Source organism: Homo sapiens, chromosome 2 (genome assembly GCF_000001405.40).
Source record: "Homo sapiens chromosome 2, GRCh38.p14 Primary Assembly".
Lineage (NCBI taxonomy): Eukaryota > Metazoa > Chordata > Mammalia > Primates > Hominidae > Homo > Homo sapiens.
Genome location: NC_000002.12, coordinates 241,097,156 through 241,119,432, shown reverse-complemented (window position 1 = coordinate 241,119,432; position 22,277 = coordinate 241,097,156). Strand labels below are relative to the sequence as shown.

General features: G+C 49.2%; 2 protein-coding genes across 21 annotated transcripts in view, besides 4 other annotated features; both read left to right on the top strand.

Moving 5' to 3' along the window:
• PASK (PAS domain containing serine/threonine kinase) overlaps nt 1–13,334 on the top strand; it is a 44,249-nt gene extending 30,915 nt beyond the window's left edge. For 3 of the 8 annotated variants that reach the window (NM_001252120.2, NM_001252122.2, NM_015148.4), the window contains 6 exons: nt 4,020–4,145; nt 4,256–4,390; nt 6,994–7,193; nt 11,133–11,266; nt 11,934–12,080; nt 12,710–13,334. In NM_001252120.2, coding sequence (NP_001239049.1) covers nt 4,020–4,145; nt 4,256–4,390; nt 6,994–7,193; nt 11,133–11,266; nt 11,934–12,080; nt 12,710–12,867 — 900 coding nt within the window. In that variant the 3' untranslated portion in view covers nt 12,868–13,334. Of the gene's footprint in view, nt 1–4,019; nt 4,146–4,255; nt 6,127–6,993; nt 7,194–10,534; nt 10,967–11,132; nt 11,267–11,933; nt 12,081–12,709 lie in introns of those variants that run through there. The other 5 variants (NM_001252124.2, XM_011510834.2, NM_001252119.2 and 2 more) reach the window with 4 other exon arrangements.
• Nucleotides 7,735–7,784: an enhancer, noted in NCBI's record as "active region_17415". NCBI's record gives its function as "activates an Ori minimal core promoter by ATAC-STARR-seq in GM12878 lymphoblastoid cells {active_cell/tissue: GM12878}" and the evidence as "EXISTENCE:reporter gene assay evidence [ECO:0000049][PMID:35858748]".
• Nucleotides 8,055–8,354: an enhancer, noted in NCBI's record as "active region_17414". NCBI's record gives its function as "activates an Ori minimal core promoter by ATAC-STARR-seq in GM12878 lymphoblastoid cells {active_cell/tissue: GM12878}" and the evidence as "EXISTENCE:reporter gene assay evidence [ECO:0000049][PMID:35858748]".
• Nucleotides 16,820–17,359: an enhancer, noted in NCBI's record as "H3K27ac-H3K4me1 hESC enhancer chr2:242041489-242042028 (GRCh37/hg19 assembly coordinates)". NCBI's record gives its function as "activates a minimal SCP1, AML or CMV promoter by ChIP-STARR-seq in primed H9 embryonic stem cells {active_cell/tissue: H9 hESC(primed)}" and the evidence as "EXISTENCE:reporter gene assay evidence [ECO:0000049][PMID:30033119]".
• Nucleotides 17,146–22,277, top strand: part of MTERF4 (mitochondrial transcription termination factor 4) — a 59,702-nt gene continuing 54,570 nt past the window's right edge. For 6 of the 13 annotated variants that reach the window (NR_138463.2, NR_138464.2, NR_028049.2 and 3 more), the window contains exons 1-3: nt 17,146–17,180; nt 19,539–20,037; nt 22,006–22,190. Coding sequence is in view for 6 of the 13 variants with exons in the window: in NM_182501.4 (NP_872307.2) it covers nt 17,160–17,180; nt 19,539–20,037; nt 22,006–22,190 (705 nt within the window). In the remaining 7 variants the exon portion in view is untranslated. The remainder of the gene's footprint in view (nt 17,181–19,538; nt 20,038–22,005; nt 22,191–22,277) is intronic. The other 7 variants (XM_047443428.1, XM_047443427.1, XM_047443429.1 and 4 more) reach the window with 3 other exon arrangements.
• Nucleotides 17,360–17,899: an enhancer, noted in NCBI's record as "H3K27ac-H3K4me1 hESC enhancer chr2:242040949-242041488 (GRCh37/hg19 assembly coordinates)". NCBI's record gives its function as "activates a minimal SCP1, AML or CMV promoter by ChIP-STARR-seq in primed H9 embryonic stem cells {active_cell/tissue: H9 hESC(primed)}" and the evidence as "EXISTENCE:reporter gene assay evidence [ECO:0000049][PMID:30033119]".

Genomic DNA, 22,277 nt, shown 5'->3' with positions numbered 1-22,277 from the left:
AGCGAGAGCATGGATGAGGCCTCATTGGTGTAGAGGAGGCCCTTGGAGGGTGGGCACATGATGCCCAACTAGCCAGCCAAGGCCAACGTCCCAGGGGTAGGGCGGAAGTGGGGTGGCGTGCACAGGGCACGCAGCCCAGGCCTCTGCTGTCCCCACCTCCCTCCCCACCCTCCGAAAGAAAAGACAGTTTGGGCCTCAGCCATGGACGGACGCCGTTACTGGCAGCGTCTCCTTAAACTACAGAGATACAATGTGTATCAACAGGGTGATCGCTTCTGACCCACTCAGGCAGACACCTAGAGGTGCTGCATGGGCCAGAACCAGTCCTATGGTATCTTTGGTTTGTGGGCTTCCCTCCCGACTTGAATCCTCCCTCTGTCCAGCCTCTGGGGTGGGCCTCAGGGCTGGGAACGGGCTGCTCGATGGCGCAAGGCCCAGCCTGACAGCCCTTGGAGGCTGGGGGTGCTGCCCTTGCCAGCCACGGGCAGCTTACTCACTGGGGTGCTGGGACTTGTATGAGAAGATCTCGGCAGCCAGCTGCTGCGGGTCCAGGAGCTGCGGGAAGTGCCCCATCATGGCCTCCACCGGGTGCGGGGTGTGTACACCACACAGCTTGGTGTACACGCTGGCCTGTTCCTTGGCCAGGCTGTCTGCCCTGCGCCGTGGGCCCCTGCCAGCCCCTGGGCTTTGCACTGGGGGCTCCTGAAGACTGGGAAGCAGAAACATTTTAAATGGATGACGTTTAGTTGGTCTCTTTTACCGTTTGTCACTTGTGTTTTGGTGTTATATCTAGGAAGACTCTGCCAAGCCCAAGGTCATAAAGATTTACTCCCATGTTTTCTCTAAGAGTCTTATGGTTTTAGATTTTACATGTAAGTCTTTGATCTATTTTTGAAGTTAATTTTTGTGTGTGGTGTGAGACTGGGGTTGGACTTCACCCTTTCGTATGTGGATATCTAGTTGTACTAGCACTGCTTGTTGAAGACTGTCCTCTCCCCATTGAGTGGTTTTTGGCACCCTTGTCAAAAATCAGTTGACCATAGATGCATGGATTTGTTTCTGGACTCTGAATTCTATTCCATTGATCTATAGTCTGTCTTTCTATCTTAAGTGTGTCCTTAAGCCAGTACCACACTGTCTTGATTACTGTAGCTCTGTAGTAAGTTATGAAACTGGAAAATGCTAGTCCTTCAACTTTGTGTTTTTTTTTTTTCCAAGCTTGTTTTGGCTATTTTGAGATTGTTTTGGCCATTTTTCACTTTCTTAAGGATTTTAGGATGAGCTTGTCAGTTTTGCAAAAAAGCCAGCTGAGATTCTCATAGGAATCACATTGAATCTGTAGCTCACTTTGGAGAGTATTGTCATCTTAACAATATTTAGTCTCCTGATCTGTGAACGTGGAAAGTTTTCTATTCATTTAGATCTTTAATTTCTTTCGGTAGTGTTTTGTAATTTCAGTGTACAAGTCTTGTTGTTCTTTTGTTAAGTCTCCATTATTTTTATGTCCAGTTTCTTCTTTTTTCCAGGTTTATTTTTCATTTGCTAGAATATATTCGTTGCCAGTTTTTCCAGGAAGGATTCATGGGTACTATACATTCAGTCCTTGTATGTATTAAAGTGTGTTTATTTTTCTCTCATATTTTAGTGATGATATGCCTTTCTCCTCTCAGAACTTTTTAGACCTGTATCTGTTGTAATCTAGCATTATTTTGAAGTGAATTTTGCTGACAGCAAAACGTGATTTATTTTTCTTTCTAGATGTAAAATCTTTGTCTTTCAAAGTTTTCACCAGGATGTCTTTAGGGGTTTATGTTTGTGTGTGTTTTCTTTATTCTTGCTTGATACTTGGTAAGACTTTGATCTGAATATTTAAAGCTTCCGTTCTTTGGTTCCGTTAATTCTTTCCTTCTCCCTCCTCCTGACACTCATTTTAGGTGTGCATGGGCCCCCCTGGAGGAGCCTGCCCTCTTGTCTCCTTGGCCCTGCAGCTGGACAGGCCGCAGGCCTCTTCACCTAGAGTGTCAGGGCTCCCGCCCTCCCGGAGGCTTCTGGAGCTCTGCCACATCTCAGCAGGCCCTTCTTTTGCTCCTCAGGACCACAGCCTGCTTCCCCTCGTCTTCTTGCTTTCCCTCAGTCTCACTTCTGGCCTTTTGGGCCATAGTGACCCTCCCGTCAAAGGGTCTTCAGAATTTGTCTCCTTTCACCTCTCACAGGCTGGCACCCAAGTTGCCCCCTTCTCTCCTGATGACGGTGAGAGGCCTGGATGTTGCCCAGGCTCCGATGATTCTTCCTGCTCCCGCCCTGGCCCCGATGCCCTCCCGATGCCCACTTACGTTGCCTGCCCAGCCCCCCGCCTCCCTCACACCTCCTCACAGCTCAGGTGCGCTCTGCCACAGTCCTGTGCTCCCGCTGCCCTCTGCCTGGAGGGCCTTCCCCGAGGCGCTCAGAAGCTGCCTTCCCGGGACTCACTCCCTATCCCATGCACCTCGCAGGGGCTGCACCCCCGCGGCACTTCCTGCCCCATCTTTTTTTCCTTCTTGGCACTCATCGTTCCTTGGTGCGTGATCTCACTCAGCATCTCTTCCTGACACCTGAACAGGCCCATCCTGTGGTTGGCACCCGCTGGGTTGCCCATCGCTCCTTCAGCTGCGTGCCGACACCCACGTAGCAGCAGGCGTTGTGTTGGGCGACCAGATTTTCAGCGACTTGCAGTGTTCTTTCTTTTGTGAATGGTATCTTTTTCTGTTACACTTTGACTATCATTGACTGTGGTAGCACTGTTTTTCTTATATTTACCTTATGTCTGTCAGTCTTGCTAAAGTCTGATTAATCTCAGAGTCAATGTTGAAAACATGTCTAAGAGTGATAGCTTTTCTTTGTATTTTCTAGTTTTCTGGCTTCTTCGTTTATTCTCTTGGCCAGGGCTTTCCAGTCCTTGGTTGAGAAGTCGGGGTGACGTGGATGTTCTCCGGGGCACATGCCCTGAGGCCTCTGGGGCCCTCTCTCCAGCCCAGGTTATGGCTCCCTCAGCTCCACCTGGATTCTCCATCTCACCCATCTGTCCACCTTACAGAATGGGCAGTAATGACGCTGCATTTCTGGTCAGCTGCTGACCCCCTTCTGTGCTTCCTTGTGCTGCAGGCGTTTATCACTTTGTTTCTTCTTTCATGTCCGTGGGACTTAGGGGAGGTAAATGCAGGGGATGTGTCTGCCGCATGGACCAATGGTGGCCCTGGTGTAATGGGATGCTTGAGGACTGGGTGGCCCTGGTGGAATGGGATGCTTGAGGACTGGGTGGCCCTGGTGTAATGGGATGCTTGAGGATTGGGTGTCCCTGGTGTAATGGGATGCTGGAGGACTGGGTGTCTCTGGTGTAATGGGATGCTTGAGGACTGGGTGGCCCTGGCGTAATGGGATGCTTGAGGACCGATGGTGGCCCCTGGTGTAATGGGATGCTTGAGGACCAGGTGGCCCCGGCGTAATGGGATGCTTGAGGACTGATGGTGGCCCCTGGTGTAACGGGATGCTTGAGGACCGAGTGGCCCCTGGCGTAACGGGATGCTTGGGGACCGGGTGGCCCCGGCGTAATGGGATGCTTGAGGACTGGGTGGCCCCTGGTGTAACGGGATGCTTGGGGACCGGGTGGCCCTGGCGTAATGGGATGCTTGAGGACCGGTGGCCCCTGGTGTAACGGGATGCTTGGGGACCGGGTGGCCCCGGTGTAATGGGATGCTTGAGGACTGGGTGGCCCTGGTGTAATGGGATGCTTGAGGACCGGGTGTCCCTGGTGTAATGGGATGCTTGAGGACTGGGTGTCCCTGGTGTAATGGGATGCTTGGGGACCGGGTGGCCCTGGTGTAATGGGATGCTTGGGGACCAGGTGGCCCTGGTGTAATGGGATGCTTGAGGACCGGGTGGCCCTGGTGTAATGGGATGCTTGAGGACTGGGTGGCCCTGGTGCAATGGGATGCTTGAGGACTGGCTCCAGCTATTTCCACTACGCTCTGTCTTCCTCACAGGTGGTGGTGAAGTTTATTAAGAAGGAGAAGGTCTTGGAGGATTGTTGGATTGAGGATCCCAAACTTGGGAAAGTTACTTTAGAGATCGCAATTCTATCCAGGGTGGAGCACGCCAATATCATCAAGGTGATGGTTTCCTCTTCAGAGATACCCTAACTTGGCTCATGTCAAATGTCTTCAATTTGTTGACTTGAAGATGTTTTGGTAGAGTTGGACTTGGCTTTGTCTCTTCCTAGGTATTGGATATATTTGAAAACCAAGGGTTCTTCCAGCTTGTGATGGAGAAGCACGGCTCCGGCCTAGACCTCTTCGCTTTCATCGACCGCCACCCCAGGCTGGATGAGCCCCTGGCGAGCTACATCTTCCGACAAGTGAGAGCAGGCCAGAGCCGTGTTAGTGTGAACGCAGGCCTGGGTGCCTGGGTCCGGTGGCTGCAAAGATCAGTGATCCATACTCGGTTCTCTCTCTGAGCTGGATCTAGCCTTCTGTGTGGGGATTTCATGGAGTAGGATATATATTTTGAGAAGAAAATTCTATGATTGAAGTAGAGAAAGTGAGGTTGGGAAGGAAGGATGAGGCCAGATACAGTCCTGGAATGACTGAGAAAGTATGTTTAATGGTTAAGGTTTATTTACATACATAAAATATCCACAACAATCATAAAAATTAACCAGTAAGGGTTAGGATGCAGCCAGAGAGCGTCTCAAAGGCATGTGTGCGGCACAGCGGCCTGCAGGTTGTAAGTGCCCACTAAATGGTGGCTGTTGAGGTAATTAACCAGCAAAACTGAGATCCTGACATTCTCACTTTTCAGTAAGTATTTGTCTTGATCTGTTTCGTGTCTAATTACATATTGAACTTCGGCCATTATTTTATTGGAATGGGAGAGTGATGATCCAAATAGGAAGGCACCCTAGCAGAGGGACAGGGGGAAGAAACGGTAACTCGTGTTGGGTTTTAAGGAGAGGGTGGCGGTTCCATCCTGTACTGCTCCCAGCTCCCCCAGAAGAACTGGAGAAATACCAGCAAAGGGCTGTGTAGACAACTCACATTTGCTCTTGGATTGTTTGCTGGGGACAACTCGATTTCTAATGACAGCTTCCGTGAATCAACATTTCTTCCTTAAAGCTACACACTCTCGGGTTGTTGGGTTTCCGAAGTTTAGTTTCTCAGGCTCCTACTTGTAAGTTTCAGATATTATGGTTCTGCAAAAAAGGGTCACCTCTCTCCCTCTTCCTGTGTTGGAAGGTGACGTCCTCCCTTTAGTTTGTGGCCAACACTTGTTTCTGAAACTTTTTACAGCAAACAGAGTATCTGTATGAGGTTATGTTGAGGGTCGCTTGTTAAAAGCTGCTGCCTGACAGCTGTTAATTCTGGGGCTAGTGAGACACATAATTATGGTGTTTATACTCTAAAATTTTTGCCAAAAGAATCTCTACCCCTTTTGTAAATATATAGACATAAATGTTATTCTATGTAAATACAGATGCACAATTTTATAAAGTATATGATCGCACATCAATGTATGTAGGAATCATGCTGGTTCTCAGGGCATTGCCTGTCAGCTCCAGATTCATCAGGACCTGCTCAGCAGCGGGGTCGGGGAGCTGGGCCTGGGAACAGCCCTGGCTTGGTTCAGGCCGCTCCAGGGCAGCATGGCCAGTCCAGGGCACAGAAGCATCTGCAGGAAGAGCAGCTTTCTTCAAGTCGCTCTTTAGCCCTTTGTGGTTAATCTCTCAGTACTAGTTAATAAATCTTAATGAAACTTTCCATGTTCAAGTTCATGTGTGATTTCTGTCTCCTGATTGGATCCTGACTGATTTGTATATATCTACATATATATGTAAGTATGTATGCATGCATGCTTGTATATGTGTATTTATGTGTGTACCTATGTACAAGTATATGTTATGTGTATAGGTATGCACACGTGTGTATGCAGGTGTGTATATATGTGCACATGTATGTATCTAAATGTATGTATAAATATGCAGGTATGTATATATAAATATGCAGGTATGTATATATAAATATGCAGGTATGTATATGTTTGTATATATGTGTATAAATATGCGTATATTTATTAAATGTAAGTTAATCGGGCTTAGCTAACCTGTGATTATTGCTCCTGATTTGAAAGATACTCATTTGTAAATATAAATTTGTCTCAAAAGATCAACATGATACATCCATGAAGTCACTAAGTTGATTGGTATAATGGGTGTCCAAATTATGACAGTCAGACGTTTAATTCATCCTAGTTGAGCTAAACTGAAAGGCCGATGTTGCTGGCCTCTGTTATTGGAGAGGCAGAGTGGGCAGGCAGTGGAGCACTGCAGCTGCACCTCCGTGGGAACGAAGCCCGTTTCCAGTGTAACTGCTTTAAGTCTGCATCATTGAGTAGCCACACATTTGGGGAAAGGATGGCTGATACGTCATGCTGCTCTCTGAGAAGCCACTGAGGCTGTGCTCCCAGCTCTGCCCCAAATTGCTGCCTGAACTCTGGGCAAGTCACTTTCCCTCCCTGTGAGCTGAGGTTATCGACTTGGTGCTTTCTCTTGGGTACTTCCCACTTAACACCAAACCTGCACCCATTCACTTGCCCACCATGAGTGTCTTTGAGCTGTGGCTTTGTGGCCTGTCTTTCCTCCTGAAATAGGCATGGTGTGCGTTGGTGGGGGCGAGTGTCTGCTGGGAAGCTTTTCTCAGCAGCAAACAGAACTCACGAGTCTCATTGATGTTGCCACCTTGCCGGCTAACGTGGCCATCCCCAGTGAACACGCCTCCTGAAGGGCTTTGTTTCCTGTTTGCTTCCAATCATATCTTCAGCATTGAAAAATCTTTCCTGTCCCCAGTTCATTATGAGTCGGAGGTTTATTTTTTCTTTGTGTTTTTTTTTGTTCCAGTTTATTTTAAATGCATATTTTAGTTGAATTGCTTTTTTAAAAAGCCCCCTCTGGCCTCCTGATTCCAGCTAGTGTCAGCAGTGGGATACCTGCGCTTGAAGGACATCATCCACCGTGACATCAAGGATGAGAACATCGTGATCGCCGAGGACTTCACAATCAAGCTGATAGACTTTGGCTCGGCCGCCTACTTGGAAAGGGGAAAATTATTTTATACTTTTTGTGGGACCATCGAGTACTGTGCACCGGAAGTTCTCATGGGGAATCCGTACGTATGCGGCTGCGGTGCGGCCCGTCCTCGTGTCCTCTGTCAGGACCCTGAGGGTGGCTTGATTTTGGGTGGGAAAATGGCTTCCTTTGTGCCTCTTTGTGATGAGTGTTGAGTGGTCAGGGTGATATGCTGGAAAGTAAGTGGGCAGGCAGGCAAGGTCATATTGGGCAAAGGCACTGGGCGATGGATATAGGAGTTAATAATTTTATTTTCTCAGCTTTTATTTGTTTGGAGTTTCATATAATAAAAAGCCAAGAAAAATATTGAAGAGTCCCCCAAAATGGCACTCTTCAAATAAGTGAAGAGGATTCTTTTTAGTTAGGTTTATTTATTTTGATGACAGGAATAATATCTATTTCAATAAAATACCGCGGGGCTGACCATACAAGAAATCAAGCACTAGAGAAAGTCCCGAGGCAGAGGATTCGTGCTGAAGGTGGAGCCCTTGGCTGGAGGGGCTGTCGCTGACCAGCCAGACTCCATGTCACTGGAGTGGGCCAGCTGAGCCTCTGCTCTGCTGTGGGGAGAAGCGGCGTCCTTGGGTGTGTGGCTGAGTTTGCATCTCTGCAGTCTGGGGAGCCTGTGAGTCGGGGGCCGGCCTGGGCAGGGCCTCCTCTCGGGGGACTTTAGAGAGGAAAGCAAAACGGAAAGGAAGATTGTGGTTCATTTGTAGGGCCTGAGTGGAGACTGTCTGCTGACGTGCCCGATCACTGTCTCATCTGCCTGTAAACCAAATGTGTCTATGTGTATGAAATAGACTTTATTAAGTCAGAAATAGATAGCAGGTGTTTTCCACTAACACCTACATGTATTTTAGAGAGGTGTGGTTGGAATGCATCTCTAGGTGAGTTCATGGTTAGAGAGTCGGATGATCACAGCACTGCTTGGACCCTCCTGGCCCTCTGCTGCAGTGCTCTGCTGCACCGCCCATATCTGCTCCATGTGGTTCTCTAGGAGGGAAGCTGATGCTGCCCCCACAGGAGAGGCACACGGGGTCCCTCACAGACCTGCTGCACCTGACCTGGTGGCCTGAGGCCAGGGCATTTGCTCGCAGTCACGCACGAGCTCCATGCCGTGCCTTGGGCTCTCGGGAGGGCCTCAGCATTGGGGAGAGGAGTGGCTGGGCTCTGGATCCTGGTGTCTGCTTAGGCCATATTTCATTAGGAGGTGCAGGTTCCAGGCTGCACACCCTGAGTCCTCAGAGCCCAGCAGCCTCAGCCTGCGCCAACCTCTCCATGCCAGGCAGCGTTGAGCTCTTCTGGGCCTGGATGCCCTGTGTGCAGAGTATGGAGGAAGTGAAAATGGGCTCTTCCCCGCTAGAACCTCCATGCATCTTCAGAGCCACCAAACAGCGTGAAATATCGAAGGGGGTTGGTCTAAGAAGGGCCGTGGAGTTTCCCTTCAGATCTAGTTTGGTTGCCCTAGAGCCTGGTGGGCGCTGGTGGGCTCTGCCTGCCCTGCAGTGGTTGTCGTGCCCTCCGTGCTGGAGGGAACTGCCTGTCCCCTGTCCACTGACCCATGATGCCTGCTGCATGGCTTGTCACCCCTTCCTGTACCCAGGCCGTGAAGCTTGGGGAGGGTGCAGGGGGGATCCAACCTGGGCGAGAGCTCAGTGCTGCTTGGCCACCTTGGCCCTGCCTCCCAGAGCTGTGGCTCCCACCCTCTCCCTGAGCGCCTGCCCTGCCAGGGCTCTGCCCTGCCTCCTGGCCTCTCCTTTCTGGCTGTGAGCGGTGTACTGCTCCTGGGCCTGCGGGGCTGCAGGCCTCCTCTCAGGAGCTCCTTCCTCCCTCCTGCGTCCTCTCCCCATCTCCCTGGATGAAAGGGTTTCTGAGTTCTTATTCTCAATCCCATCCTCAGGGCCCTGGCTTCTGTCTTGTCATCTTCATCTCCGTCTACTCCAGGGTCGGCAGACTGTGGCCTTAGGTCCCTCTTCCCCTTCCTCAGGCCCTGGCAGCTGCCATTCTGCTATTTTCTCTATGAATCTGACTACTCTAGGGACCTCCTATACGTGGAATCGTACAGCATTTGCCTTTTGGTGACTGGCTTATTTCACTTTGCATAAAGTCCTCAAGGTCCATCCATGTTGTGGCCTGTGCCAGCATCTTCCTTTTCAAGGCTGAATTTGATTGCGTTTTCTGGATATGCTGTACTTATTCATCTGTCAGTGGACATTTGTGTTGCTTCTACCTTTTGCTTCCATCTTTATGTTGTTCGTGATGCTGCTACAAACGTGTGTGCAAACATCCCCTGCCTCTTGTTTCTATAAATAAAGTTTTATTGGAATGGAGCTGTGCTCATTTGCTTATGTGTCGTCTGTAGCTGCCTTTGTCCTACATGACAGAGTTGAGTTGCAGTGGGGACCATGTGGCCCAAAACCTGAAATATTTACTATTTGACCCTTCACAGGAAAAGTTTGCCAACCTCTGTTCTGTTCTATTGGATATTTCTCTTCAGCTTCTAAACATCTTGAAATCTCTCTAAAAAACAGAAACAACACAAAAACAAAAACTGCTGAAACTGATTTTCTTGCTCTAGCCCCTACAGCTCTCATCCGTCCGCTCAGCTTCCCTGCGGTCTGTGCTAGCCACCCCACCACCCTGCTGACTCAGCCTGGGGGCCCGACTTTCACCCACGCTGCTGCTCTGGCCTCTGTGATCTGCCCTCTTGAGCCCTCCCCTCCCCTCCCCTCCCCTCCCTCCCAGCCCCTCTTCTCCGAGTCCAGCCCGGGGCTCTGTCCGTGCCACTCTTCTCACTGCTGTGGTTTCTCTTGGCTCCCTTGTCTAATTCTGGTTCTGAGAACAGGCTGCTGCTTCCCAGACCTCTTCTGGGGACAGACCCCCAGCTGCGGACCTGGAGACGCATGGCCTTGGCCAGTGCAGGGGCAGGGCTGTGGGTGCTGGTGACCTGGCTCTGGTGCGTGCTTGGCAGCAACTTCACCTCACCAAGCCTTGCTCTTCTGTGCAAAATGAAAGTCATATTTATCTTGCTAGGTTGTTGTGAGGATTTGGGTTAAGCCATGTAAAATGCTGGTACAGCATTGGCATCTCTAGGTACCCAATAGATGGTAGCATGGATGAGGATGTTTACGGTGACAGGAAATAAATGGTAGCATGGATGAGGATGTTTACGGTGACAGGAAATAAATGGTAGCGTGGATGAGGATGTTTACGGCGACAGGAAATAAATGGTAGCGTGGATGAGGATGTTTACGGTGACAGGAAATAAATGGTAGCGTGGATGAGGATGTTTACGGTGACAGGAAATAAATGGTAGCGTGGATGAGGATGTTTACGGCGACAGGAAGTAACAATAGTCCTTTGGGTGTCTTCTCCCTGAAGCTTGCTCCTCCATTTGGCCCACTGTGTGAACACCCACCTTCACCACGTCCTTCTTGTTTGCTTTCATCCTTCGGTGTTTTTCCCTGTTCAGTCTCGTCCTGCAGCACCCTTCACATCGTCGCCACAGCCATCTTCCTAAAGGGCATGTGTGTCCATGGTCACACCAAGCCCGTTCACACCAAGATCGTGAACATGCCTGATCACGTCTGAAGGGCACGTGACCCTGTTCTGAAGTGGCCTGCAGCTCCCGTGGCCCTCAGCAAAGCCAATGGACGTGTACTCTGCTTCCTCCAGGAAGCCCTCCCCCCGCTCCCCCCTCTGGTAGACACGTCTTGTGGTTGGTGTCCACAAGGAAGTTCCTGATTAGCCTCGGAGCTGCCCGATGGCCTCTCCACTCCTGGCACATGGCCTGCTGGCTGGCCTGGGGCAGAAGTGCGTGGAAATGGAGGGCGTGTTTGAGGGGTGGAGTGACCCTCCTCTTGGGAAACCACTGCCTGGCCTGTGTGCTGGTCGGGAAGGGCCATGGTGCTTCCCATGGGCGGGCTTGGCAAGCCTGCGCTGAGTGCCGTGGCGTCCTGATGCCTCCTCCTCCTCACAGCTACAGAGGGCCGGAGCTGGAGATGTGGTCTCTGGGAGTCACTCTGTACACGCTGGTCTTTGAGGAGAACCCCTTCTGTGAGCTGGAGGAGACCGTGGAGGCTGCCATACACCCGCCATACCTGGTGTCCAAAGGTGAGCGTGAGCTGCAAGTGGTAGACAGTCGACACTGTCCTTAGAGACCAGCCACTTTTTTTTCCCATTTCCTCATTCCTCAGTGTATCTCTGTCCATATCAACAGTCTCATTTGTTTCTTTTCTATTCATCAAATAATTTGCATATGACTTTAAAACATCTTGATAATTTAGTTTTTGTTAATGTTCCTCTTTGGATCTTAGAGGCCCTCTTGTGAGAAACACACTTGCAGTCAGGACAGGGAGGCTCCAAGTGGCCCTGTTGACTTGGTGCCTACATGGTTAAAGGAACTGGGGCCCGAATCCAGATGCAAGGCTGGGGGCTTCTCTCAGCTTGTGCTGGCATCCCCTCACCTGTCATGTTAACCCTGCGTTATTCACAGCTCTGCATTGCCAGAGCCCCTGAGAATAGAGCAGTTAGGAACCTCTGCACCACCTGGATTTTGGTTGAGTGGGATGGCATCTTGAACTCCAAGCTTTCATTTCAGAGGCAATGAATGTTTCCTGCAGCTTCTGTCCAAGCACAGCTGGGCCCTGCACTAGAGGTTCCTGGGCCGCCACCTGCCCAGTCAGAGGCTCTGCGGGGGGGTGGTGAGCACCCAGGAATCTGAGATGTGCTCCACTTCATCCCAATCTGGACCTACCATCTGTGTTCTTTGTGTCCCCAGAACTCATGAGCCTTGTGTCTGGGCTGCTGCAGCCAGTCCCTGAGAGACGCACCACCTTGGAGAAGCTGGTGACAGACCCGTGGGTAACACAGCCTGTGAATCTTGCTGACTATACATGGGAAGAGGTGTTTCGAGTAAACAAGCCAGGTGAGGCTTCTCAGCATCCCTCCACCCCACATGACTTCACTTGGAATAACGAGGTCCCCAGGCTGCCTTCCTAGGTCAAAAGGAGGAAAAGGAGGCTCTCTCCCCCATGCTGTCTTGGACACAAATGTCAGGGCCTATAGCTGACCTGTCACCTGTGAGAGGGGGTTTGATTCTGTCCCGAGGCCTCTGGACACCACTGGGGTTCAGGGTGTGGCTTTGGACCTTGGAGGGTGGGCAGGTGTCATGGGAGCTCCTGGCAGAAGGGGTCGGAACCCTCAAAGATGGTTTGAGGAATGCAGCTGGTGATGGTCTGACTGGGCCGAAGGGGAGGATGAGGCCACAGATGCTGAGAGTGATTCTCTAGCAGCCGGCGGGGCCGAGGGCTCTTCAGACAAGGCTCTGGCCACAGAGCCAAAACCACTGCTCAGAGCATTTGGACCAAGCTGCGGTTGATGGCCCTGGGCTTAGATCCCCACCTTGGCAGGATCTGTACTTCCGGGACATTGCCAGTTGGATTTCTGAGGGCCTCACCTTAGGCTTTTGTTCTAGGACTTCTTCAAGTGAGAAGCAAAGTATTTTAGAACCTTAAGTTGTTAGCACGTGATACAGTTACCTTCTTGTTTCTTCAGAAAGTGGAGTTCTGTCCGCTGCGAGCCTGGAGATGGGGAACAGGAGCCTGAGTGATGTGGCCCAGGCTCAGGAGCTTTGTGGGGGCCCCGTTCCAGGCGAGGCTCCTAATGGCCAAGGCTGTTTGCATCCCGGGGATCCCCGTCTGCTGACCAGCTAAACACCAATTTCTTCCTGCTTTTCTCCACTTGGTTTGGAAAATCACACAGTTTTCAGGCTCCATCTGTTTGGAGAAAATACATTCTGAAGCATCCCCAATTCACCTTCTAAAAACTCATGTGCAGGTTTGATAAACACCAGAACAGAAGACAGTGATGCTGTATTATTTTAGATTTATTACATAGATTTGGAATTCACTTTTTTCATGACCTAGAAAAAAACATTCCAGTGTTCAACTGTTTTATATTATTAAAGGGCTTTTAATTTGTGAACTTCTGAAGGCATGAGTGTTTTCTCTTTCTACTTTTGTATATGTGCATGTTTTGTTTCCTCTGACTTGGTATATGCTCATCTGAGTGACGGATATGTGAAATTTGTAGAACTGGTTAGTCAAATGGCCAGACTATTTCATTAATTTATTTCCTCAAATGCTTTTCAAATTAAAGCACCTTTGTTAGTAAACAGTTATCCTGACTTGGATGTTGTGAACTGTTCCCGTGTGCTAAGTGTGAGAAATACCTGGTTTCCTCATTTTTCCATGTGTGCACCCCACTTGCCACAGTTGGAGAGAAGTCTAGCCTTGGCCATTCTGGGGTTCCTTTTACAAGCAGGCCCTGCCAGGGGTGGGCCTAGGGCTCTGAAGCTTGCTCCATCTGGTAAGACGGGGGAGGGTGGCTTCCTCAGGGACCTCCCTTCTGTCTGTAGCAAGACTCTGCTGTCAAACACGTGGCTGGCTCACTGCCAGCAGTCCCCAAATATCCCATGGCCAGCCAGCTCCCACCTCTGTCCACATGAGGGGCTTCCTGGCCCAGCCCCCACCTCTGGTCTGTGTGAGGGGCTCCAGCCCTGTATTCCTCCGAGCTGCTCAGGTTCCAGGGTGTTTGTCAGATACTCAACTGGCTGCTTCCCTCCCTTAGACTCCAGTCCATCCCCCTCAGACAGACTTGGCTAGGTCAAGTACTTAGGATTGTTTTATTTCATGTCTGTGTTAGAGAGGAGGGAATAGCTAGAGGTGAGAGCAGAACCTTTCATTTTTTTCCCCTGCTGAGACAGTAGGAAAAAAACCAAAAACCTAAACCCCTACCCTTTTCCCACATGTCATCACTTGCAGACGGTTTTTCCACATTCTGAGACTCCTGCCCAGAACCCTCTGGAAGCTGCCTGGGAGCCAGGCTGCCTCCTGCGTGGTTCTGAGCTATTTCTAGTGGTTATTTAGGAGGCACTCAACTGTTTTGGGATGATCAGAGTTAATTTTAGTCCCATCTAGTAGGATATGGGCTATTGCCATCCCTTTCTTCAGAAAGTGCTGCCTGAGCCTCGCTGCCACCACAAGTGACTGATGGAGTTGGTGGGGGAGGACCCTCCTCTATCAGGGACATTCAAGGTACAAGGGTTTTACAGGTGTGTATTAAAGTCAGTGATGTTCACTCTTCAGAATTCAAAGAGTTTTCTGATGTTTTAAGAACCCCTACCTTGTAGTGTTTATGGTGCTTATAACACAGAGGATGTTATAGAATGGTGTTTGTTTGTTTGTTTATTTATTTAGAGACAGAGTCTTATACTGTCGCCTGGGCTGGAGTGCAATGGTGCGATCTCAGCTCACTGCAACCTCCGCCTCCCAGGTTCAAGCAATTCTGCCTCAGCCTCCCAAGTAGCTGGGATTACAGGTGCCCACCACCACGCCTGGCTAAATTTTTGTATTTTTAGTAGAGACGAGGTTTCACTATGTTGGCCAGGCTGGTCTCAAACTCCTGACCTCATGATCCGCCCGCCTCGGCCTCCCAAAATGTTGGGATTACAGGCATGAGCCACTGCGTTCGGCCACAATGGTGTTTGCAGACAGGTGTTTAATGGGTTGAGAATGCATAGTCTGAGCTTTCTAAGAACTGTTACTTCTTTATAAGAAAAAATAATTAAAGCTCATCTGACTTCATGGCAGTGGAAGGTCTGGTATTTTGCAAACGTTCTTTGCAGAAAGAACCCAGAGAGGAAAGTTCTGAGGCTGAGGCTGACAATTTTTCCACTCCATTTTTTTTTTTTTTTTTAAGATGGAATCTTGCTCTGTCACCCAGGCTGGAGTGCAATGGTGCAATCTCGGCTCACTGCAACCTCCGTTCCCTGGGTTCAAGCAATTCTCCTGCCTCAGCCTCCCGAGTAGCTGGGATTACAAGTGTGCGTTATCACGTTACCTGGCTAATTTTTGTATTTTTAGTAGAGGCAGGGTTTCACTATATTGGCCAGGCTGGTCTCGAACTCCTGACCTCAGGTGATCCACCCATCTCAGCCTCTCAAAGTGCTGGGATTACAAGCATGAGCCACCGTGCCCAACCCACTGCATATTTTTAAAGTATGGTTCGAGAGAGCAAAGTTTTCACACAAGACTGAAGGTGATGTCAAATTTTTTTTTTTTTTTTTTGAGAAGTACTTTCGCTTTTGTTGCCCAGGCTGCAGTACAATGGCGTGATCTTGGCTCACTGCAACCTCCGCCTCCCAGGTTCAAGTGATTCTCCTGCCTCAGCCTCCTGAGTAGCTGACACTACAGGTGCCCACCACCATGCCTGGCTAATTTTTGTATTTTTAGTAGAGATGGGGTTTCACCATGTTTTCCAGGCTGGTCTCAAACCCCTGACCTCAGGTGATCTGCCCACCTCGGCCTCCCAAAGTGCTGGGATTACAGGCGTGAGCCACCACACCCGGGCTCATGTCAATTTTTCATAGTAATCCCCATGTCCCAGCTGTCATTTTATTTCTAGAGCTAGACAAACTGTTCAGGTTCCTTGATTCTTTCCAGGGAGTTGGGGTGGCTCATGGGATTTTCTTAGGCTTTTGGTGTAGCATTAACACAATTTATTGTGAGATGTTGACAGTTGAGTATTTTGAGAAGAAAATTACATTATAAAAAACAACAAAGGCAACCAATTTTTTTTTTCCTTTTGTTTTTTGAGACAAGGTCTTGCTCTGTTACGCAGGCTGGAGTGCAGTGGTGCAATCATGGCTCACTGCAGCCTCAACCTCCTGGACTCAAGTGATCCTCCCACTTCAGGCTCCTGAGTAGCTGGGACTACAGGTGCACGCCACTACTCCCGGCTAATTTTTTATTTTTTGTAGAGACAGGATTTTCCTATGTTGCTCAGGTTGGTCTTGAACTCCTGAGCCCAGGCAATCCCCCCCACCTCAGCCTCTCACAGTGCTGGGATTACAGGCGTGGGCCACTGCACTCTGCCAAAGCAACCAATTCTTTAGTTTCTACACGGATTAGAACCTTCCTTTTCTTTGACATAATCCTTTTGTCAAAAGACAGTTTTACATAAATTGTTTGGCACCCCACTCCATGCCTGGCGCAAAGCAGATATGTAAATGTGTGCCCATGCAAGAATCAAATCCTTTATGTCAGTCCAGAATGAAGTAGATAAAACAAGAAATGCTTATAAATTAAGGCTTTGGTGGCAGGATTTAGGCAGCTGAGAAAGCACACCTTTTTATTCTTCACAAGCATCACCTTGTGAAAGATGCCTACGCTCTTAGGTCGAGAGAGGAAATTTAAGAATGAATACACATTGGGCTAAAACTTTACTATATTTCATCCTAAGAGGGAACCAGACCTCGAAGTTGGGAAGGCTCTTGCTTATAAAGGGAAATGTGCCGTAATTCCTGTCATTTTACTTGGGTCTTTTAAAAACGGCAAATTCTCATCTTCCACTGGCTGAGAGTAAAAAGAAAGAAAAGCGGTAAAGACTTCTTTTTGTGCGTAGGTGGCCCCGGTGTTCACGCTGAATACAGATTTTTACACAATAAAATCTTAAATATCTCTACATGGAACGGAATCCATTTTTCCTGCCTCGGGAAGGATTTCTGCGCTCTCGGGTGAAGTTCCCGAAGCAAGGAACCAGTTCCCCTCTACCTGTACTCTTGAGAGGAATTCTCAGGTCATCTGAAACACAAGTATGGGCCAGGACGACCCATTCGTTCACGCGGCCCAGAGCTCTGCGAAACGGGACACGGCAGTGCAACGGGAACAACCGGACACCGAGGCCCCCGAAGGCTGAGGCCGCGGCAGAGGCGGCGGCACGGTGACGGGCGCGACTCCGGCCTTCCGGCTTTCTAAGGGGCGGCCCCGGGACACCTGAGCCCCGCGGGGCCGTGAACGCTCAGCACAGCTCCGGGCCGGAATCACGATCCACCACACCGCGCTGGCGCTGGGAACGGCGTCGGTGACGGACCGGGGGCCGGAAGTGAAGGACGGGGGAGGACCGCTGCTTCCGGCGCCGTAACTGCTGCCATCTTCTCCGCGCTATGGCTGCGTTCGGCCGTCAGGTAAGCTCGAGCTGGGCGCGCGGGCTTCTCCGGGTCGCAGGCGGGCGGGCAGCGACGCAGAGGAACCGCGGCCGCCGAGTGTTTCACGGCCAGGTCGTGGAGCCCTCCCGGAGGTCCGTGCACGCTGACCTGGTTTTGGCATCCTGGACCCGTGGCTCTGCTCAATTATTGTGGGATATAGAGTTGACATTTTTTTTTTTTGAGACAAAGTCTCGCTCTGTCTCCAGGCTGGAGTGCAATGGCGCGATCTCGGCTCACTGCAACCTCCGCCTCCCGGGTTCAAGCAATTCTACTGCTTCAGCCTCCCAAGTAGCTGGGATTACAGGCGCCCGCCACCATGCCTGGCTAATTTTTGTATTTTTAGTAGAGACGGGGTTTCACCGTGTTGGCCAGTCTGGTCTGTAACTTCTGGCCTCAGGTGATCCACCCGCCTCGAACTCCCAAAGTGCTGGGATTACAGGCGTGAGCCACCGCGCCCGGCCTGAGTTGACTGTTGAACAAGAGTTTGAACTTCACAAGGAAGATAACATGTACTTTTCATTAAGAGGAAGCGGAATCAGCATAGAGGTCTTTAGGCTTGAGCCCAGTTCCACGGGCCGCGCCCGCTGACCCCAGCGACTGCCAGGTGTTCCTGGCGGAGGGAGCATCTGGACAGGGGAGGCTGGAGAGCAGCCAGAGCTTGGGCTTGGCAGGGTGGCCCCAGGGCGACAATCGATGACGCTGGAGAAGGGGTTGGGACCGATGTGAAGGTTTTAGAGCAGGGGTTCCCCAACCCCCGGTACCGTCCCTTGCCTATTAGGAACCAGGCTGCACAGCAGGAGGTGAGCGGCAAGTGAGCCAGCCAGACTGTATTTACAGCCGCTCCCTTCGCTGGCATTACCGCCTGAGCTCCGCCTCCTGTCAGACCAGCCGCCTTAGATTCTCACTGGAGCGCGAACCCTATTGTGAACTGCGCCTTTGAGGGGTCCAGGTTGCGCTCCTTATGAGAATCTGATGCCCGATGATCTGTCACTGTTTCCCATCAACCCCAGATGGCACCTCCTGGTTGTAGGAAAACAAGCTCAGGGCTCCCAGTGATTCTACATTATGGTGAGTTGTATAATTATTTCATCTTATATTACAACGTGAAAATAACAGAAATAAAGTGCACAACAAATGTAATATGCTTGAATCATCCTGAAACCCCTCACCAGTCTGTGGAAAAATTGTCTTCCATGAAGCCAGTCCCTGGTGCCAAAAACGTTGAAGACTGCTGGCTTAGAGTGCCTGGATGATTTGTGCATAGTTTGTTAAGCACCAGCCTGAACCACTGAAGACTTTTGAGGTCAACTGGAATTGTGTATGCAAGTTGACTAATTACTGTGACCCTTGAACAACACAGGGGTTAGGGGCACCAGACCGCCCCCACACCAGTTGAAAATCAGTGTATAACGTTTGACTCCTCCAAAACTCAACTACTAATAGCCTACTCATGACTGGAAGCCTTACCGACAACATAAACAGTTAACACATATCTTGTATATATATATATTGCATTCTGTATTCTTAAAGTAAGCTAGAGAAAAGAAAACGTTATTCAGAAAATCATAAGGGCAAAACCCCGTCTCTACAAAAAATACAAAAATTAGCAGGGTGTAGTGTGCACCTGTAGTCCCAGCTACTCAGAAGGCTGAGGTGGGAGGATTACCTCAGCCTGGGGAAGTCAAGGCTGCAGTGAGCCATGATTGCACCACTGCACTCCAGCCTGGGCAACAGAGTGAGACCCCCGTCTCAAAAAACAAAAAGAAAATCCTAAGAGAAAATGTATTTACTATTCATTAAGAGGAAGTAGATCCTCATAAGGTCTTTAGGCTGAAGAGGAGGTGAAGGAGAGTTTGGTCTTGGTGTCTCAAGGGTGGCAGAGGCGGAAGAAAATCCACATATAAGTGGATCCAAGCAGTTCAAACCCTTGTTGTTCAAGGGCCAACTCTGTATCCCACAAGATTCTTCTCGTGGAATGAATTTAAGAACATGAATCTGGAAAGTAGTCTGAGGTCCAGACTTTTCTGGCACACATGACCAGGTGGCCTAGAAATAGTTTTTCCCTCTTCCTCCATGTCCCTGCTCCCATCCTTAAAGCTGCAAAAGCTAACAATATTGTACCTGCTTGACTCCCATCTCTGTGGCCTTGAAATACCCTGTTCTTTGTGAGCTTCCTTCTCTGTAGGCTTAAGTTCAGATAGGATTTTGCAGATTGCTTATAAAAATTGTATGTTTGTGTGGAACCAAGGCAGTAAGTACTCTGGCTCAGAAGTCTTATGGTGTCCATTACACTGGAATAGTGAGGAATTAATTGTCTTTTGGTCCTGTGTCTTACAGGTCCTTGATTGGCACCGCCTGATCCCCCTCACCTGGGCCTGTATGGCTAGGCAGACTCCTCATCTTGGAGAACAGAGAAGGACGACAGCTTCTTTGTTGCGCAAACTGACTACAGCCTCCAATGGAGGGGTCATTGAGGAGTTATCTTGTGTTAGATCCAATAACTATGTGCAGGAACCAGAGTGCAGGAGGAATCTTGTTCAGTGCCTCCTTGAGAAGCAGGGGACTCCTGTGGTACAAGGGTCCTTGGAGCTAGAGAGGGTCATGAGTTCCCTCCTGGACATGGGTTTCAGCAATGCCCATATTAATGAATTGCTCAGTGTACGGCGAGGTGCCAGTCTTCAACAGTTGCTGGACATCATTTCAGAATTTATTCTCTTGGGTCTGAATCCAGAGCCTGTGTGTGTGGTCTTGAAGAAAAGTCCCCAGTTATTGAAACTGCCTATTATGCAAATGAGGAAGCGCTCCAGTTACCTGCAAAAGCTTGGGCTTGGAGAAGGTACAAGAAGTTGCAGATTTTGGCTGGGTGCGGTGGCTCATGCCTGTAATCCCAGATCTTTGGGAGGCCGAGGCAGGCAGATCACTTGAGGTCAGGGGTTCAAGATCAGCCTGGCCAACATGGTGAAACCCTGACTCAACTAAAAATAGAAAAATTAGCTGGGCTTGGTGGCACGCACCTGTAATTCCAGCTACTTGGGAGGCTGAGGCATGAAAATCGCTTGAACCCAGGAGGCGGAGGTTGCAGTGAGCTGAGATGGCGCCACTGCACTCCAGCCTGGGTGACAGCAAGGCTGTCTCAAAAAAAAAAAAAAAGATTTTATATAGTGTGACAGGAGCCAGAGGTGGGGAAAGAGCAGCCTAAGGTGAGATGGATTAGGGGAGGTTTCTGAGTATGTCAGTGTTCCTGGAGAGGACTGTATAATTTGGCTTGGAGGTGAGGAATAGGAGTGGCTTTCTGTGCAGAATACATTTTGAGAGGGAAGGAGGAGGAGTTAAGACTAGAAGAAAAAATTGAGTGCCAGGGCAGAGACTCTTGTCTGCCTTGTTCACCGTGGGATCTTCAGCACCTAGTGCAGTGGTGGGCATATGGTATGTGTTCAGTGGGTTGATGCTGATAATGTGATGTTGATAAATATGTGTACATATAGCATTTGATGTTTAAATCAACATGAAATGGTCTTAGTGCTCTGTCTCTGTGATGTGATGTCAAACCAACATCTCTTGTAAAGACTTAGATTCTAGTCGAGTGTTTAGATTTACTCTGGAACATGAGAGATCTGGCCAGGTTCCTGGGATACTCGTGGAGTGGCCTTCCCTTCTATTTATCCCCCACTCCTGCCCCCAACAATATTCACATCTCAAGGATGCTCAAAGTTCCTTGAATCTCTTTAAGGGCCTTCTGGAGGAGTTGGGGGTCTCCAAGGACCCTTACCCACTTTGACCAGAGGAGTTCCACTATTATTTCTTTGCATTATTGACTCTTCCTGGTAAGATGTTTTTTGAGGCAGTGGTAGAAGGTTTAGGATCCACCATTTCACAGCATCTCTACAGGCCTCCTTCTCTAGAAGATAAGAAAAAGGTAGCCTTGTATATTTTTCTTAACAGATTCTTACAGTGTAATCTAAAAGTCTAAATATATTATGTGTGGTGGTGATTAATTAGCAAACTCAGCACAGCCTTAAGAAATGAAGATAAACCTAAACTGAAATTCCTCACATATTAAGATAATCACTAACTCAAATGTTAGGAAAATTTTAATTAACAGTTTAAATAGTTGACTTTAAGTTTCCCATTACTGAATTTTGCTCAGCTATCCCTAGGAAGGCCTGGAATAGTCCCAGTTTACACCAGTTAGTGCGGTTTTAATAGGGCCTCTTTCACTCAAGGTGCCCTGGCTTGGAGAAGATATATGGTGACCCTGGTAACCAGGACGTCAGCATTGGTGTTGTGTGTCCTCATGATTACTATTATTGTTATTACTGTTATGATGACGATGGTGATGGAACTCCTTTTCATTGAGTTCAGCTTGAGAATGTTAGTTGTGAATGCTTCAATGACTATTTTATTATAGAAGGAAACATCAACCCAAACCAGCAATATGGAGGAAACTACTCTCCCATATTACTCTCTGATCTTTCCAGTAAATGCCTGGGAAATTCTTTTCCAAGTGAGGAGGGCAAGAGGAGACCCAAAATACAAAGTTGGCACCTTTCAGGTGGGAGGCCAGAATAAAGCAGGAATATAGGGAGGGAAGGATGGTGAGTCTGAGGAGTGTCAGGAAGTCAGTGGGGAGATGTATCATTTCCATGGTGCTTCTGGGAAGATAGATCTGAAATTGCCACTTGCTCTGTGGAAGGAGAGGATCCTTGTTTGTTTTTAAATGTGGACTTAAATTGGGTGCAGCTAGCTCCTTGAGTTTCTGGAGTATCCTGAAATTATATGCTTGCCTTTTTTGAATGTTCTGCAGGGAAATTAAAGAGGGTGCTTTACTGTTGCCCTGAAATTTTCACCATGCGCCAGCAGGACATTAACGACACTGTCAGGCTTCTCAAGGAGAAGTGCCTTTTCACGGTACAGCAAGTCACCAAGATTTTGCACAGTTGCCCCTCTGTTCTTCGAGAGGACCTGGGTCAACTGGAATACAAGTTTCAGGTGAGAATGACTGATAGCGTGATTAGCGTAGTTTCAGGTGAGAATGACTGGTAATGGGATTAGCGTAGTTTCAGGTGAGAATGACTG